Source organism: Homo sapiens, chromosome 17 (assembly GCF_000001405.40).
Source record: "Homo sapiens chromosome 17, GRCh38.p14 Primary Assembly".
NCBI classification, from domain to species: domain Eukaryota; kingdom Metazoa; phylum Chordata; class Mammalia; order Primates; family Hominidae; genus Homo; species Homo sapiens.
Window position 1 is genome coordinate 59,772,867 of NC_000017.11, and position 18,224 is coordinate 59,791,090.

General features: G+C 39.3%; 1 protein-coding gene across 10 annotated transcripts in view, besides 2 other annotated features; it reads left to right on the top strand.

Annotated features, from left to right (window-relative positions):
* VMP1 (vacuole membrane protein 1) overlaps positions 1 to 18,224 on the top strand; it is a 134,602-nt gene that overhangs the window by 65,213 nt on the left and 51,165 nt on the right. For all 10 annotated transcript variants that reach the window (NM_001329394.2, NM_001329395.2, NM_030938.5 and 7 more), the window contains one exon: positions 888 to 1,019. In NM_001329394.2, the coding sequence (NP_001316323.1) occupies positions 888 to 1,019 (132 nt within the window). The remainder of the gene's footprint in view (positions 1 to 887; positions 1,020 to 18,224) is intronic.
* Positions 10,486 to 11,299: an enhancer, noted in NCBI's record as "H3K27ac-H3K4me1 hESC enhancer chr17:57860713-57861526 (GRCh37/hg19 assembly coordinates)". NCBI's record gives its function as "activates a minimal SCP1, AML or CMV promoter by ChIP-STARR-seq in primed H9 embryonic stem cells {active_cell/tissue: H9 hESC(primed)}" and the evidence as "EXISTENCE:reporter gene assay evidence [ECO:0000049][PMID:30033119]".
* Positions 13,575 to 14,054: an enhancer, noted in NCBI's record as "active region_12515". NCBI's record gives its function as "activates an Ori minimal core promoter by ATAC-STARR-seq in GM12878 lymphoblastoid cells {active_cell/tissue: GM12878}" and the evidence as "EXISTENCE:reporter gene assay evidence [ECO:0000049][PMID:35858748]".

The window sequence follows — 18,224 nt, forward strand, 5'->3', positions numbered from 1 at the left end:
AAGTTGTATTTAAATTAAAGCAACTTCTGAAGTTCCAGAGGATTTCCTAGAGAATTTTTATCTAACACATATACTGGTGAATTCTTTTTTTTTTTTTTTTTTTTTTTTTTTTTTGAGACAGAGTCTTGCTCTGTTGCCAGGCTGGAGTGTAGTGGTGCGATCTCAGCTCCCTGCAACCTCCGCCTCCCAGGTTCAAGCAATTTTCCTGCCTCAGCCTCCAGAGTATCTGGGACTGCAAGTGCGTGCCACCACACTCAGCTAATTTTTGTATTTTTAGTAGAGATGGGGTTTCACCCTATTGGCCAGGATGGTCTCGATCTCTTGACCTCGGGATCCGCCCGCCTCGCCCTCCCAAAGTGCTGGGATTACAGGCGTGAGCCACCATGCCCAGCCACTGGTGAATTCTTATTACCAGATCATTTAGATATCAGAAGCGGTGGGGGGGGGCAAATGATAAAAATAACAGAGTCTAAGTAGAGATTCTAGAGAACTAAAATTTACTTAGTGTCTACAATGAGCCAGGTGTTGTCTCAAGATTTTTTTTTTTTTCATAGACAGGAATCTCAGAATGTTGCCCAGGCTGGCCTCAAACTCCTGGGCTCAGGTGATCTTCCTGCCTCAGCATCCTGAGTAGCTATGGCTACAGGTGCGTGCCCACTGTGCCTGGCTTGTCTTAAGGGTTTTATGTGATGCTTGCCAAGCATCAGATAGGTCAGAATTAGAGCCAGGATTCAAACTTTTATTATTTTGATTATGTAGCATATGCTTTCCCCCAATATATTGCATCTCAAAATGCTTCTGGTGATATAGAAGAGTATGGGTTTGATCTATTAAGTGTCACTGTTGATAACAGAACCTCATTGTAAGTATTTTGGTTTTTCACCTAGGGTATCGGTACAGCAATCGGAGAGCTGCCTCCATATTTCATGGCCAGAGCAGCTCGCCTCTCAGGTGCTGAACCAGATGATGAAGAGTATCAGGAATTTGAAGAGATGCTGGAACATGCAGAGTCTGCACAAGTAAGAACAGTGGGGATAGAAAATAGAACACTTTACTTCTTCCTAAAGAGGCTATTAAGGTAAAATTGTTAGTAGTTACTCTGAAGAAGAAAACTGCTAAAGTAAAAAAAAAAAAAAGAAAGAAAAATATTGCTTGAGATAGAATATTTAGAAAGGTCAAAATATAAAAGATAATCTTGATCTTAGAATAGAAAAATGCAATAAGACAACTCTTAATACACTAAAACACCTTGTCAGAAACCAGGGTAAATTAATGTTGCCAATGATGTTAAGGAGCTGAAACTTACTTTCTCCATTATTTGTTTAGAGGTATTACCAAGCAGACTGCTGCTCTGAGTCCAAAATAATAGAACTTCTGAATTAATTGTTAAACATAACATCAAAGGACAGATGTGGTGGCTCACTCCTGTAATCCCAGCACTTTGAGAACCCGAGGCAGGAGGATTGCATAAGCGCAGGAGTTTGAGGCTGCAAGTGAGCTATGATCATCCCACTGTACTCTGGCCTAAGCAACAGGCCCTCTCTCTAAAAAAAAAAAAGAAAGAAAGAAAGAAAGAAATCTTATTTTATGGCTATATCTATAGTGGCCCTTTCCTCCCTTGAAAGCAGCTTCATTCTGTATTCCACATAGTGTGCAGAGCTGCTGAAATGTTTGCTAGGGAAATACATGAATTATATCAAATTCTTAAGTAGTTACTAAAACTTTAAACTAGTAAGCAATATGTAGTAGTATATATGACAATAGTAATAGTAGAACTTTTTCTTTCTTTGCTTCTTTCTTCCTTTTCTTTGTTTTGTTTTGTTAGTTTGTTTTTGATTTAGGGTCTCACTCTGTCACTCAGGCTGGAGTGCAGTGATAGAAACATAGCTTACTGCAGCTTCAAACTCTTATATAAACATAGCTTACTGCAGCTTCAAACTCTTAGGCTCCAGCCGGGGGTGGTAGCTCATGCCTGTAATCCCAGCACTTTGAGAGGCTGAGGTGGGCAGATCACTTGAACCTAGGAGTTTGAGATCAGCCTGGGCAATAGTGAGACCTTGTCTCTACAAAAAAAATTTTTTTTTTTTTTTTTTGAGATGGAGTCTCGCTCTGTCGCCAAGGCTGGCGTGCAGTGGCCTGATCTCGGCTCACTACAAGCTCCACCTTCTGGGTTCACGCCATTGTCCTGCCTCAGCCTCCCGAGTAGCTGGGACTACAGGCGCCTGCCACCACGCCTGGCTAACATTTTGTATTTTGTTTAGTAGAGACGGGGTTTCACCATGTTAGCCAGGATGGTCTTGATCTCCTGACCTCGCAATCCACCCGCCTTGGCCTCCCAAAGTGCTGGGATTACAGGCGTGAGCCACCACGCCCGGCCTACAAAAAATTTTTTAAAAAGCTTAGCTGGGCCTAGTGGCGTATGCTTGTAGTCCTAGCTACTTGGGAGGCTGAGTTGGGAGGATCACTTGAGCCTGGGAGGCAAAGATTGCAGTGAGCCCTGATTGTGCCACTGCACTCCAGCCTGGGTGACAGAATGGGAGTATCTCAAAAAACACAAAGTTATTCCCCAGCCTCAATCTCTCAAGTAGCTGGGACTACAGGTATATACCACTATGGCCAGCTAATTTTTATTTGTTGTAGAGACAGGGTCCCACTATGTTGCCCAGGCTGGCCTCAAACTCCTGGGCTCAAGTGATCCTCCCACCCTGGCCTCCCAAAATGCTGGGATTATAGGCGTGAGCCACCACACCTGGCCTGAACTTTCTTTTTGAATAATATTTAACAGTTCAAACTATTCAGCAGTTCAGACTTGCCTTTGCCTCAGTCAGATTAATGAATGCCCTGGAGTATTCTAGACAGTGTCCTCAAGATGAGCAAGGTAAACTTTCAAAACAGAAAAATATTAAATGCTAGGCCTAGGCAAGCAGTAACATAATTGGTTGAGGCTTTTTGACCTAATCACAATCTGTGTATCAGCCTCTATCTCAGTTATCTCAACAGAGTGTTTTGTTTTCAGGAAAATTCCTAAAAACCTTGTTGAAAGATTGAATCTCCATCTTCAAGTCAGATAGGCTTTTTAAAAATGCATTATTACCGAGAACTTTGGGAGGCTGAAACAGGAGGATTGCTTGAGGCCAGAAATTCAAGACCGGCCTGGGCAACATGGCAAGATCTCATCTCTACAAAAAATGAAAAATTAGCTGTATAGGGTGGTGCATTCCTGTAGTCCCTGCTACTTGGGAGGCTAAAACAGGAGCATTGCTTGAGCCCAGAAGGTGGAGGCTGCAGTGAGCTGCATTTGCACTACTGTACTCTACCCTGGGCAACAGAGCAAGACCCCACCTAAAAAAAAACAAGAAGCATTATGAAATAAAATTCAACCAAGTATGGTTATAGTTTTTAATTAAATACAAAACTTTCAAATATGAATTTAGAATAGCCAAATATAAACCAAATGAAATAAAGAGCCATGAATATCTGCTCTTTGTGGAAAGAGCAAATTGCCCTGGTATCTGCTTTGCCTTATCTGCCAACCAAATATTATGCCTCTCATGACATCATAATGCTTATATTAATGCTAATAATTATTACAAATATAAACTTTTAAAATTATTTTTAACATTTTAAAAATCCAGTATTTAATATGACCCTTGTGTTAACTCTGAGGGAGTTTGGAAAGGTACCATTCTTCTAACTTTATAGAAAACAGTAGATTTAGTTGTTACTTCCCAAATTTCACATACTTATAGGTAGAACAAAAACTCAGAATGCCAGCATTACTGGTATATTCCGATTACTGAAACCAGTCTGTCCACAGAAGCAGATGGGTGAGACTTGTGACAACTGATAGTTCTTTGAGTTATGGCACTAACTAATGTATGTCATTTAACATCTCTAAAATTCTTTTTTTATCTATATGAAATCAGCAAGTTGAAGTGGAATAAATATAAGGTGGCTTGCAGCTATACATTTTTTTGCTATGACTTGGATTCCAAATGGGTATGAGAGTTGTTCTCTCATAAGTCAACTAATGTACTATGATTATTTCTCCTTTTGTTTTTAAACCTTTTTTTCTTAGAATTAACATTTTCAAATTTGCATAGTCTTTACATCTCTGGCTTGCCTTCTCTCCCCTCCAACAGCCCTGTAAAAACATCTCATGATACCACTTTCCACTCGGTAACACAAATAAGATTATATCAATTCCATTTTTTTTCATGAAGTCATCTCTCTGGAGCCCTCCATGCTCCCACTCCATTCTGGACTTGCTGTTCAGTTGCCCTTCTGCACAGTTGCTTCTGTCTTGGTTTAGATTTCTTGTCTTCCTCTTTCTTAATTTACACCTTCGTTTTGCTTGAACATATTCTGCTGTAGCTTTCTGTGAAAGGGTGAGTAAATGGAAAATGTGATACCATACATTCTAAACTAGCATGTTCTTCATTCACAATTAATTAACTGAATATAGGATTGTGGGTTGAAAATCACTTTTTATACTTAGAATTTGGAAGGCATTGTTCAATTGTCTTCAAGTTTCTGTAATTGGTATCCAGAGGACCGATGCCCTTCTGAGTCCTCTTTATAAGCAGTCTACTTTTTTTTTTTTTCCTCTCTAGAAGCTTTTAGGTTCATTATCTGAGGTACAGTCTTTTTAAAATGTATTCTGAGCTTGGCACAGTGGCTCACGCCTGTAATCCCAGCACTTTGGGAGGCCGAGGTGGGTGGATCACCTACGGTCAGGAGTTCAAGACCAGCCTGGCCAACATGGTGAAACCCCATCTCTACTAAAAATATAAACAAATTAGCTGGGTGTGGTCGTATGCGCCTGTAGTCCCAGCTGCTTGGGAGGCTGAGACAGGAGAATCGCGTGAACCCTGGAGGCAGAGGTTGCGGTGAGCCAAGATCATGCCACTGCACTCCAGCCTGGGCGACACAGCAAGACTCCGTCTCAAAACAAAACAAAACAAAACAAAACAAAACAAAACAAAACAAAAAAACAAATAAAGTGTACTCTGATAGGTGCTCAGAAAACTTGTTCCTTAGTTTGGGGAAATGTTCTTGTATTTTTTATGTGAGTTTTCCCTCTTTAGTCTCTGTTCTTGCTTCCTGGAATTCTAGTTGCTTCAATGTTAGGCCTCCTATGCCCATCCTTTTAATTTTTTAAACCTTTTTGCTTCTAATATTTATCTCATTTTACTATCTATGAGATTTCCCAAGTTTATCTTCTAAGTCTTATATCGAAATGTTTTTCTGCTGTTAACATATTTATTTTCAAAAAGCAATTTGTATGTATTTTTCAGGCATCGTCTTTTCTGTTTGTTCAATTTGGAGTTCGAGGCTTTCCTCAAAGCCTGATAATCCTTATTTGTATGTTTATATAAGAATAAGGCACTTAAGGCCGGGCGCAGTGGCTCAGCCTGTAATCCCAGCACTTTGGGAGGCAGAGGCAGGCGGATCATGAGGTCAGGAGATTGAGACCATCCTGGCTAACACAGTGAAACCCCATCTCTACTAAAAATACAAAAAAAAATTAGCTGGGCATGGTAGCGGGCGCCTGTAGTCCCAGCTACTTGGGAGGCTGAGGCAGGAGAATGGTGTGAACCTGGGAGGTGGAGCTTGCAGTGAGCCGAGATCGCACCACTGCACTCCAGCCTGGGTGAGAGCGAGACTCTGTCTCAAAAAAAAAAAAAAAAGAATAAGGCACTTAAAAGCTAAGTGGAAGCTATGTGCGTACAGGCCAGGTGTAGTGATGGTGAGGCTTCCCTATTGTACAGTCAAGTGGCATCCAGGCTTAATATTTACTGAGAACCTCCATGTATCAGTGTCTATTGATCTTTTCTTGGGGATAGTTCAGTTTCTCCATGATGGATCCTTCAATTTCTTGCCTAGGCAATGCAGACAGTCCCTAACTTACAGTGGTTTGACTTATGATTGTTCACCTTTACAATGGTATGAAATTGATACACATTCAGTACAAACCATAGGTCGAATTTTGGATTTTGATCTTTTCCCCAGCCAGCGATATGTGGTACCATACTCTCACACAATGCCAAGTAGCAGCAGTGAGCCACAGCTCCCAGTCAGCCAGGTGATCATGAGGGTAAACGTCCATACTCTGCAGTGTACTGTAATTTTGCCCAACTATGGGCTAATGTAAGTCTTCTGAGCATGTCTAAGGGAGGCTAGGCTAAGCTATGATGTTTGGTAGGTTAGATGTATTCAATGCATTTTTGATTTACGATATATTCAGTACGAAGGGGTTAAGACACGTCACCCGTTGTAAGTCAAGGAACATCTGTATCAGCCTTGCTGCTGACACACTAAAGCTAGACTGGGGAAGAGTGGTTAGAGATCTCCATTTAGTATGTGGACTGTTGCTCAACTCACTTTCTGTTCTATCTGTGAATACCTACACAAACACAAGCACAAGTATGTCCTGAGCCCAGAACATTCACTTTTGTCTAGAGACTATGTCTCCCACTGATATGGGAGAGAGACTTGCCTGGCTGTGCTGAGTAGGGATGGGACCTGGGAGTCTTTTGCATTCTCCTTGTTTTCAGACCTATGCCAGCCTCTTCTGGCAGTTCTGCTGAAGAGCTCTTTTGGAGTTTTGTGGGGCAAAGTATTTTGCTTCTCTTACATATCCCTCACCTGTACGCTCTCAGGTATAATCTTTTCTTCTGTTTGTCCTGTCCTCATTTATTAATGCTAACTTCATCAAAGATTGAGTTCTCATTTCTGTTTTCTATGTTTTGGGGTTATTTTTAGAACAAAGAGTATTCCAGTTGTGTATTACTGAGTAACAAATCACCCCAACATTTAGTGGTTTAAACTAAGAAAAGTCATTCGTATTGCTCACAGAGTGCAGTGAGTGCCTTGTTTCTGTGTGATATCTCTCAAGGATCCCATCCATAGCACACCCTACATTGGCTAGAATATCAGAGTAGAAGACTTATTTCATTCTTTGCAGGGTTTTGATTTTGGAATTTTAAAGAATGAATTTCATAAGCTTATTGCCATCTAAAAGCTCAGTTCCTAAAACTAAGATCTTCTAGAATTTGATGAAGAATTCTTTATTTTATCCATGTAATTTGAGCTCTTGAAGACTTTGACCATTTCTTTTCTCAGTCTTTATCTATCTACTGTTGGGGTAATAATCTTTTTCTTTCATCTCTTATGTCCCTGATTAGTTACTTTTTGAGGGGATCTTCTCTGATACCACTTTTTCTTTGAGTCGTGGAAACCAGAATGCACACAATACTTCTGTTGGTTATGAGGTTTGGCTATTTTCATCCTGTAAAGCCAATAATTAAAATCACTATTTTAAGATAAACTGTACATTTCTCAGTACCTAATTTCATATTTGCTTATTTATATTGAAAAATCAAGTGAGCAAAATGTACACACATACTGTTTCATGTTCTTTGTTAGAAATCATATACTGTTGCCTGCTGCAGTGGCTCACGCCTGTAATTCCAGCACTTTGGGAGACCAAGGTGGGCGGATCACTTGAGGTCAGGAGTTCGAGACCAGCCTGGCCAATGTGGTGAAACCGCATCTCTACCAAAAATACAGAAAATTAGCTGGGCATGGTAGTAGTACGGTGCTTACCATATCATACTGTAGCAATATTTTCATCCAGGTTAATGCAATAAAAAGTGAAGAACTAGTTTTTTCCTCCTATATTGGATTTTTCGTGTTGTTTGTTTTTGTTTTTGTTTTTTGTTTTTTGTTTTTTTTGAGACAGAGTTTCACTCTTGTTGCCCAGGCTGGAATGTAGTGGCGCCATCTCAGCTGACTGCAACCTCTGCCTCCTGGGTTAAAGCAACTCTCTTGCCTCAGCCTCACAAGTAGCTGGGATTATAGGCGTCCACCACCACGCCTGGCTAATTTTTTGTATTTTCAGTAGAGATGGGATTTCACCATGTTGGCCAGGCTGGTCTCGAACTACTGACCTCAGGTGATCCACCCGCCTGGGCCTCCCAGAGTGCTGGGATTACAGGTGTGAGCCCCTGTGCCCAGCCTGATTTTTCTTTTCTTCATTCCTTTTCATGATTTTTTCACCAGTTTCCATCAATTTTGTGGCTTATGATAGATTTCAGTGGATGTGGATATAATTTTCCTTACATACTTTTTCCCAGTTTCAGATAAGGTGTATAAGATTTTTAATTTTTATTTGTTTATAGTTGTTTTGCAGTTGAAGGGGTGAGGGAGAACAAGTGGAAAGAGACTGTTGCCGGTTTTCCATGTTATAAATTATCTGAGAGAGTACTAATGTTTTAATTCTTGTTCAAAGGAGAGTTTCTTGCTATGGCTTGGCAAAGAGAAGATTTTTAATGCTTTCAATCATGAATTTGTTTTAGGCCCTTTGCTTATTTTATGTTTTACAGATCTGCATATTTTTTAATTATACAAGTAATTTTAGTAATAAGATTCTTACATTCCAAAAGTATTATAAAGTAAAAAGTGAAAGCTCACACACCTTCTCCCCAGTGTAGGGTAATAATCACTGTATTCCAGACTGCTTTCTTTGCATACATAACTTTTTATAAAAATTAGAATCATACCATAAATTTTAGTCACAAGTTCCTTTTTCACAGTATCATAGACATGTGATACCAATGTTATTATAAAATTATTTTTTATTACGAAGTGATACATCTCATTGTAGAAAATTGGTGAGTGCCCTTTAGTCTTTTCTCTATAAATATTTATATACCTAAGAGTGAAATCATATTGTTTGTTGTTTTGTGACTTGATTTGAATCTAAAAACGTGAACATTTTTCCACGCCATCAAATATTTTCACATCTTTGCTATAACGGGTTTTTTTCTTACTACAAAGTAAGTTTATTATAATGAAATGCTGAAAATACAAATAAAGAAGAAATAGAATGTTCATCTAACAGGTGCATATATCTTTTTTATGATATATTTTTCATTTTCTTACTGGTTTACATATTTAAGAAGATGCTCTTTGTCATATGCTGCCAGTATTATTCCTTATTCCCAGTAGTTTTTCCATGTCATTTACTGGGTATGTTTTGTTACATGTTACTTTTTTTAGACAGAGTCTCGCTCTGTCGCCTATGCTGGAGTGCAGTGGTGTGATCTTGGCTCACTGCAACCTCTGCCTCCCGGGTTCAAGTGGTTCTCCTAACTCAGCCTCCCAAGTAGCTAGGATTACAGGCACATGTCACCACGCCCAGCTAATTTTTGTATTTTTAGTAGAGATGGGGTTTCACCATGTTGGCCAGGCTAGTCTCGAGCTCCCGACCTCAAGTGATCTGCCAGCCTTGGCCTCCCAAAGTTCTGGAATTACAGGCATGAGCCACCGCACCTGGCCTGTATTTTCTTTTAGTACTTTTATGGTTTTATTCTTTTAAGTCTTTAATCTATGAAAATATTTTTACATATGATATGATGTAGGAATCTAACTTTTTTCTTTCTTAGGTAATTAACTAATTGTATATTGTTCCAACACTATTTTCCAAGTGATTTTAATATGTTAGTTTTGTCTTATATTTTGTTGTTCTAATTTGCATCTTTTTTCCTATTATATTTTTATAAATGTTAGAAATGGTATATTAAAAAGATACTGGGTTCTTATTTGCTAAGCTATAACTTTACTGACATCTTTCTAGTCACATCTTATTGGTTATGATTTACAAATTCTTATAGTAATCAGTTTAGCAAAGATTCAAAGTTTATCTGACTTTGTTGCTGGGATCTGCTCGTAGATAACATGTATTTGGTAAAACCTCCAATTTGATAGAAGCAATAAAATACGGAAAAGTTGAATCAACTGTAGCTAAAACGGCAAATTAAGTAAAATCAATCCGTAACTATGAGTGGAAATTTAAATTTTAAGATTGCATGAGAATGAGTTAGAAAATATGGGTTTTTATTTTTGAAGGTAAAGCCCTGTAGTAGAGTAAGTTTATCAGCCAAAAAAGTAAAAACAAACAAACAAAAAAAACCACTTGGCTTTCATTGCTTTGCCATGTGCTTTCCAACTAGGTTAAATGGTGTATGTGATTTTACTAAGAAATTGTTGTGGCCGGGCGCGATGGCTCACACCTGTAATCCCAACACGCCCAAGGCAGGCGGATCACGAGGTCAGGACATCGAGACCATCCTGGCTGACATGGTGAAACCCCGTCTCCACTAAAAAATACAAAAAGTTAGCCGGGCGTGGTGGCGGGCGCCTCTAGTCCCAGCTACTCCGGAGGCTGAGGCAGGAGAATGGCATGAACCTGGGAGGTGGAGCTAGCAGTGAGTCAAGATCGCGCCACTGCAATCCAGCCTGGGCGACAGAGCGAGACTCTGTCTCAAAAAAACAAAAAGAAATTGTTGTTATGAAACAATTTTATTTACTTAAATTCCATTCTTGACTAATGGTTGGATGTCGTACTATAGATGTTTTAAGGGGGAAAAAAGATGATTAAAGCATTTATTTGTATTCTGATTTATTATGATACCTGCTGTATTTTTGTGAGTACAATGTTGAGATTAGGCAGTATTTTTCCACTAAGCTGACTTCCTTTTGCTCTTGGCTTTCTATCGTGTTTCCACTAGATGTCTGTGAGAGGTACACATGAATGAATGTAGCTTCCTCTGACCTTGAGCAATTTTAGCATCATTAATAAAAGTTAGGTCTAGATAGCTGTTTATGTGCTTTGTGGACTGTTTTATGCAAGGTTTAATTATTCTCTTTATGATCTTCTTTTCCTTCTTTGTTCCTGTGTTCTGTTAATGCTATCACCATCCTAACAATCGCTTTGGGTCAAAATCTGAGTCATCTGACTCCCTCCTTTCCTCCCATCCCCAGTAATTAATTCTTTAAGGCCTGTTGATTCTATCTCCATAGTATCTTACATGCCCTCTCTTCTCCCTTCCCGCTACTGTTTCAGGCCTTTATCAACCCTTACCTAAATATTGCCAGCAGCTTGCTAGTAGGTCTACTCTTTACTAGTTTTTTATCCCAATCTTTTCCCACACAAAGTAACAAAAATAATTTTCTGAAAAATATCTCTACTTATGAAACATTGCTGCTCAAAAATCTGTGATGCCTCCCACTGTGTATAGAGTGAAATCTAAACTATTTAACCCAGTTTTCTTCATTACTTGGCCCCAACCTACGACTACTTCTGATTTCCCTTTAACAGTTTTTTATCCTCTGTATTGATGGTTTTCAAGTTGAACTTTAAAAAACTGCCAGAATACCCATCAAAAAGAGTGTGTGTGTGTGTGTGTGTGTGTGTGTGTGTGTGTGTGTGTGAGAGAGAGAGAGAGATTGGAGGGAGGAAGGGAGAGGGAGAGAGATTTCTTTTAATTAAAGAACTCTGAAGTTTTTAAGTTTAAAAATTACTAGCCTGATCATTTGGAATAATTTAACTTTTTCCTCCACCACTATGCGGTATTGTTCTTTTTCGTAACTTTGCCTAGTGTGTCATTTCTTCCCATCTGCATGTCTACTTTTTCAGTTTTCTTACCTTTCAATTTATGTGCTGCTGGCTTCTTTGTGAACTATTTTATGATTCCCTTCCTACCCCTACCTCACCCCCTTCACTCCTCTCAAATTGTCTCTGAATTCCTATCTCAGCCCAGCTATGTCTTTCTTGTGTCACTTATCACATTCTACCTTCTTTTAAAACTATTTATAGACTTTTCTTATCTCTCCAGGAGTCTAAACTCCTTAAGAAGGGGGCTTAAAAATGTTTGTATTTTCAACAATGCCTGCCTACTGTTACACATACTACTCATGCAGTGGATACTTTGAATAGATGATGAAATAACAGTAAGAAAAAGTGTAGCATTACATGAAACATGTCCATTAATATTCAGTCTTATTTTGCTGTAAAATGTAATTGAACAACAGTAATTTTACAAAGAAAGGAAGATTTAACTGTATTGCATCTTTGAGTTTAATAGTCATCTGAGAGCAATTGTCATCTGAAGATAATATAAAAGACACCAAGTTAAATGACTTGCAAATTTTTTTACTTTTTAAAATTTTTTTATTTTTTTAGACTTGCAAATTTTAATTCACATTGAGTAAAACAACTTTTGTAAAATTATATACTTTAGAAACAAATGAAGATTCTTGTGACTTGTTTATTCTATAAGCTGTATAACCAAAAAGAAAAATTAAAGATACTTTAGGAATAAAATAATTTGAAAAATAAAAGAACTTATTTGCATGATGTATCCTGAAAAATTAGGGCAGCCAGTATTACTGAAATAATGGAGGAGTCCGGGAGTGGTTGTGGTATTTTTGTATTTAAAGCTTACACAATAGAGTAGAAACGTTGTGGTACATATTTACTTACAAGAATATGTTTTGAATAAGTTTACTTTCCTAAATGTCATCTGTTTTAATGACCTGCTACTTGGATTCTTTCTCACAGTGTTAGGTTGCTGACTATGTGAAATTTCCTACTTCTTATTATTGCTATCAGAATAGGAAATTTAAAATTAAATCAGAAATGTAAAAGTCTTAAAACTTCACCTTTTCAAAGAATATCGGGGCCTGGCATGATGACTCATGCCTGTAATCCCAGCACTTTGGGAGGCCAAGGCAGGTGGATCATTTGAGGTCAGGGGCTAAAGACCAGCCTGACCAACATGGTGAAACCTTGTAAAAATACAAAATTTTTTGTACTAAAAATACAAAAATTAGCTGGGCATGATGGCAGGCATGTGTAATCCCAGCTACTTGGGAGGCTGAGGAACGAGAATCGCTTGAACCCGAGAGGCAGAGGTTGCAGTGAGCTGAGATCACACCACTGCACTCCAGCCTAGGTGACAGAGTGAGATTCCATCTCAAAAAAAAAAAAAAAAAAGATAAAAAAGAATATCAGTTTTTTTCCTCTATTTTCATATCAATTAGCTTGTCTTTCTGTTGAGTATCGTTCATGAGTCTGCCGACCATTTTAGGTTGAATATTTCCTCAAAGGCTATTTTATAGTTTCTGAATTTAATCTTTTTTTAAGGGAACATTTTTAGGTTCTATTTAGGACTATAGTAATTAATGTAATTAATAATCAATAATTGCTACCTACTCTGTATGTTGAAGCTAAATCCCCAAATTAAGTTTTAATACTAGTATCTTTTACCTTACTAATTTCTATTAAATTTAAGGCTGAAAAAAATCTTATTTTTTAGCTTAATAGGATCTTTGTCCTATTCAGAAGTTTTGAGTTATTTACATTATTTTACTAGTGAAAATATAAAACCAAAAAACAGTTTATTAGTTGTAATGGTAGTTCTCATTCTTATGGCCAATGCCTTTTTTTTAATGCAGTAAAACAAAATAGACATTTATCTAGCGAACATCCCTTTTCAAACTATAGGGTCAAAGTGAAGGATTCTTTTGATAATGATAGAATATGTGTTTGATCATTTGAGTTTAAAGACTATGGGAAAGGAATTGATAAGATTATTTAAATACTCACGAAAGTGCTTTGGCATTCCACTAATGCTATTCTCTTTTAAGCACATTTTCCTATGAAGTGTGTGCGGTTGCAGTTGCCTACACCATGTCAATGCCTGCTGGTTTTTCCTGCTGTGAAGTTTTTCCTTTACATACACAGATTCATGAAAGAGTTTATGGTGTAGATGATCTGAAACTAAACAGGACACATTTTCATACACTTTAGTACCATTTGAAGACTCTGGGTGTCAGTTGTTGCTGGGACCTGTTTTTGACTCTGATGAACCTTTACTGGTTGTGGTTTGTCTGGCCATCACATGACTTCTCTGAAAATTCCCCCTCCCCTTCATTTCCAGTAAACTGTTTGAGCAGGAGTGAGTCACAGTGAAACCAGCTTCCCTGTAACCACAGGGCTTGTTAAAGAATTTGTCAGCGTGGACTCTAGAGGGTTTGCATTAAGCTTTGCAGTAACTGTTATGGTTTGTGTTGCGTCAGGAGTTCCACAGAAAAGCTTCCTGCTTGCAGGATCTCTTGCTTGTTTGCAAAGAGTTAAACTGATCAACTTTACCATAGTGAACATGAGAGACACATGTTAAACACACTTCTTTATCATTAAAGGCGTTGTCAAAACTACCAAGAATTAGTGTAGTTTCTCTTTTCATAATCAACCAACCACACCCAATAATGTTTAGTTTTTGAAAAGGCGGGCCTGGTAGATAGTCTTTCACAGTTGGCTCATGATTTTATCACAAAGTACCATCAAAATTAAGCAATTTTAAGTGGTCTTGATGGATTCTGTTACAGGATATTTTGACTATTCGCACAGTTAGGTGTCGGTACCAAAGGTCACTTACTTGCACTTTGTTCATCAAGAAAAGGTAGCACTTAGAGTAATTCTGGAGTTGTGATGTCTAAGCACACTTAGCATGATTTATAGTGGAATTCTTCGTGCCCCCTTTTACTTGCTTTCTCTAGAAGCATTTACTTTATTTTGAACTCTTTTGCCACCTCACTCGCAGACTTTAATCTTTCTCCCTTTTAATTTCTTCTATTTCTTTAACTCATTCCCATATTATCAACAAGGAAAGATAGTTGCAATGTGATGCAAGCTGTTAAATGAATGGCCAGTGGGAAACTTGTCTTCTCAACATACATTCCCAAGTGCATTTCTTTTTACATGCGCATTTCTGTATTTAGCCTTGTCACCTTTAGCTAGACTTACTTATCTAAAAAATAAATTTAGGCTGGGCACAATGGCTCACGACTGTAATCCCAGCATTTTGGGAGGCTGAGGCGGGTGGATCACCTGAGGTCAGGAGTTTGAGACCAGCTTGGCCAACATGGTGAAACCCCATCTCTACTAAAAATACAAAAATTAGTGGGGCATGGTGGCAGGTGCCTGTAATCCTGCTACTCAGGAGGCTGAGGCAAGAGAATTGCTTGAACCAGGGAGGCAGAGGATGCAGTGAGCCGAGATCGTGCCACTACACTCCAGCCTGGGTGACAGAGTGAACTTTGTCTCAAAAATAATTAATTAATTAGTTAATTAATTAATTTAGTGAAAACTTTTAAACTCGACCTCCTAAAAATTTCTTTTATTCGGCTTACACTTTTGTAACAAAATAAGAAAAACATTCTAAAAAATGTGGAAGCTAGTTATTCCTCACAGGAAAAAATATACAATAATGAAGTTTGAAATTGTTTATGTTTTAGCCATGCTGTCAGTCATCAAACTAAATTTAAAAAAATTATTTGTTTTGATGACAAAGCAATTATCATTGAAACAAGATGATTTTCAAATGAAAATACGAGGTTAATGCAGTCCAGTCATTAGCAGGGAAAAAAAGAATAAATATTTAAGGTTTTTCTTGTTAGGTTGCTTTGCACATTGGAGTAGAAAATAGTTTTGGGCTTGGCGCGTTGGCTCAGGCCTGTAATCCCAGCACTTTGGGAGGCTGAGGGGGACGGATCACAAAGTCAGGAGCTCTAGACCAGCCTGGCCAAGATGGTGAAACACCGTCTCTACTAAAAATACAAAAATTACTCAGGCATGTTGGAGAGCTCCGGTAGTCCCAGCTACTCAGGAGGCTGAGGCAGGAGAATCGCTTGAACCCGGGAGGCGTACATTTTAGTGAGCCGAGATCCCACCACTGCACTCCAGCCTGGGTGATGGAGAGAGACTCAGTCTCCAAAAAAAAAAGAAGAAAAAAGAAAATAGTTTTGTGGCTGGGCATGGTGGCTCACGCCTGTAATCCCAGCACTTTGGGAGGCCGAGGTGAGCGGATCACCTGAGGTCGGAAGTTCCAGACCAGCCTGGCCAATAATGGCGAAACCCCGTCTCTACTAAAACTACAAAAAAATTAGCTGGGTGTGCTGGCGGGTGCTTCTAGTCCCAGCTGCTTGGGAGGCTGAGGTAGGAGAACTGCTTGAACCCAGAGGCAGAAGTTGCAGTGAGCTGAGATCACACCACTGCACTCCAGCCTGGGCAACAGAGCTAGACTCCATCTAAAAAAAAAAAAAAAGAAAGAAAGAAAATAATTTTGTGTTATGTCTGCTTGTTCTTTTCACTTCCACACCTGTTTGCAGATATGGCGGTGGAAAAAGCACTGGGTAAGCATTAGGTTACCTTTGTTAAACTAAAGTCTTTTTTTTTTTTTCAGGTTTGTGTTTCAAACACCTTTTATAAAATGCCTTTAGAAAGGCCCCTTTTGGGCCGGGCGCCATGGCTCATGCCTGTAATCCTAGCGCTCTGGGAGGCCGAGGAGGGTGGATCACGAGGTCAGGAGATCAAGACCATCCTGGCTAACACGGTGAAATCCCGTCTCTACTAAAAATACAAAAAATTAGCCTGGCGTGGTGGCACGCACCTGTAGTCCCAGCTACTCTGGAGGCTGAGGCAGGAGAATCCCTTGAACCTGGGAAGCAGAGATTGCAGTGAGAGAAAAAAAAAAAAGATAAAAGAAAAAAAGGCCCCTTTTGGCTGGGCGCAGTGGTTTACGCCTATAATCCCAGCACTTTGGGAGGCCGAGGCGGGCGGAACCAGTCTGGCCAATATGGTGAAACCCCATCTCTACTAAAAATACAAAAATTAGCCCGGCGTGGTGGCTCGCACCTGTAGTCCCAATTACTCGGGAGACTGAGGCAGGAGAATCGCTTGAACCCGGAAGGCGGAGGTTGCAGTGAGCCAAAATCGCTCCACTGCACTCCAGCGTGGGTGACAAAGCAAGTCTCAAAAAAAAAAAGGCCCTGTATTGAAACTTGGACCAACAGACTACTTACGCTTCGTTTTTGCTTATGAGTCTGTAAATCAGTAACATGCTAAATACAAACCCACCCTTTGTTATAAGTGCTGAGTGCTTTGAGGGGTACATCAGAGTTTAATGGAAGACCTGGACAGCAGAATAGCTATTATGTTCATTTCCTATTGCAAAGGTGCCTTTATTTCTAATTAGCCAAGATATTTTGTTTGTCATGATCAATCTGCAGTTCTTTCTCTTTCTTTTCTTTCTTTCTTCCTTCCTTCCTTTCTTTCTTTCCCTTTTTTTTTTTTTTTTTTTTTTGAGACGGAGTCTCCCTCTGTCACCCAGACTGGAGTGCAGTGGTGTGATCTCAGCTCACTGCAACCTCCACCTCCCGGGTTCAAGCGATTCTCCTGCCCCAGCCTCCCAAGTAGCTGGGACTACAAGCACACGCCACCATGCCCGGCTGTTTTTTTGTATTTCTAGTAGAGACAGGGCTTCACCATATTGGCCAGGCTGGTCCGGAACACTTGACCTCAGGTGATCCGCCCACCTCAGCCTCCCAAAGTGCAGGGATTACAGACATGAGCCACCGTGTTTGGCTCCAATCTGCAGTTCTTTCTTGCTTATTATTTAAGGAGATTTCTCTCAATAGAGTCTCCTTCCCATTTTTGCTATCTCAGGTCTTACAACTTCAAAATATGACTATCATGCTTTTAAACTAAGGCCCTATGAAGAGATCTAAAGAAATGGGCATGATAATTCATTCAGTGCTCCCCTCAAAAGTAGGGATATATTTTAGATTTTTTTGCCCCATTCCCTGACATGGGTCTGCATCAATTAACTTATCCAAATTTCTAAAACTTTGTATTTTTACTACTTGTAGTAAAGACTCAGTAAGTTTATAGCCCATCATATAAAGCAGTGCTTCCATTTTGTTTTAAATTTACCTCTCTGAAGGTATAAAGTTTGGCCAGGCGTGGTGGCTCATGCCTGTAATTCCAGCACTTTGGGAGGCCGAGGCAGGTGGATCACTTGAGGTCAGGAGTTTGAGACTAGCCTGGCCAACATGGTGAAACTCCATCTCTACTAAAAATACAAAAATTAGCCGGGCAGTAGTGGCATGTGCCTGTAATCCCAGCTACCGGGGAGGCTGAGGCAGGAGAATCACTTGAACCCAGGGGGCAGAGGCTGCAGTGAGCCATGATCACGCCACTGCACTCCAGTCTGGGTGACAGGGCAAGCTCCATCTCGAAAAAAAAGAAAGTTTTAAAGTTTACACTCAAATTATTCTGATATTGTAAAATTTGTCAAATACTTCTCATTTCCTCTCATATTTTTCATAGCTTTATAGATTTCACTTAGCTTCCTCTTCAAGCCTTTCTAGAGAATGTAATTATTCACTTTTTATATCCAACAGCCCCCAAATCTCAATTGTTTTTTCCATGGATCTTTATCTAATCCTTTTATATCTCTCCTAGCATGAAATCATAACTTCGCATGATGAAAGTCACAACTGCACATGATTTTCCAGAGGCAATTGCCACATAACTG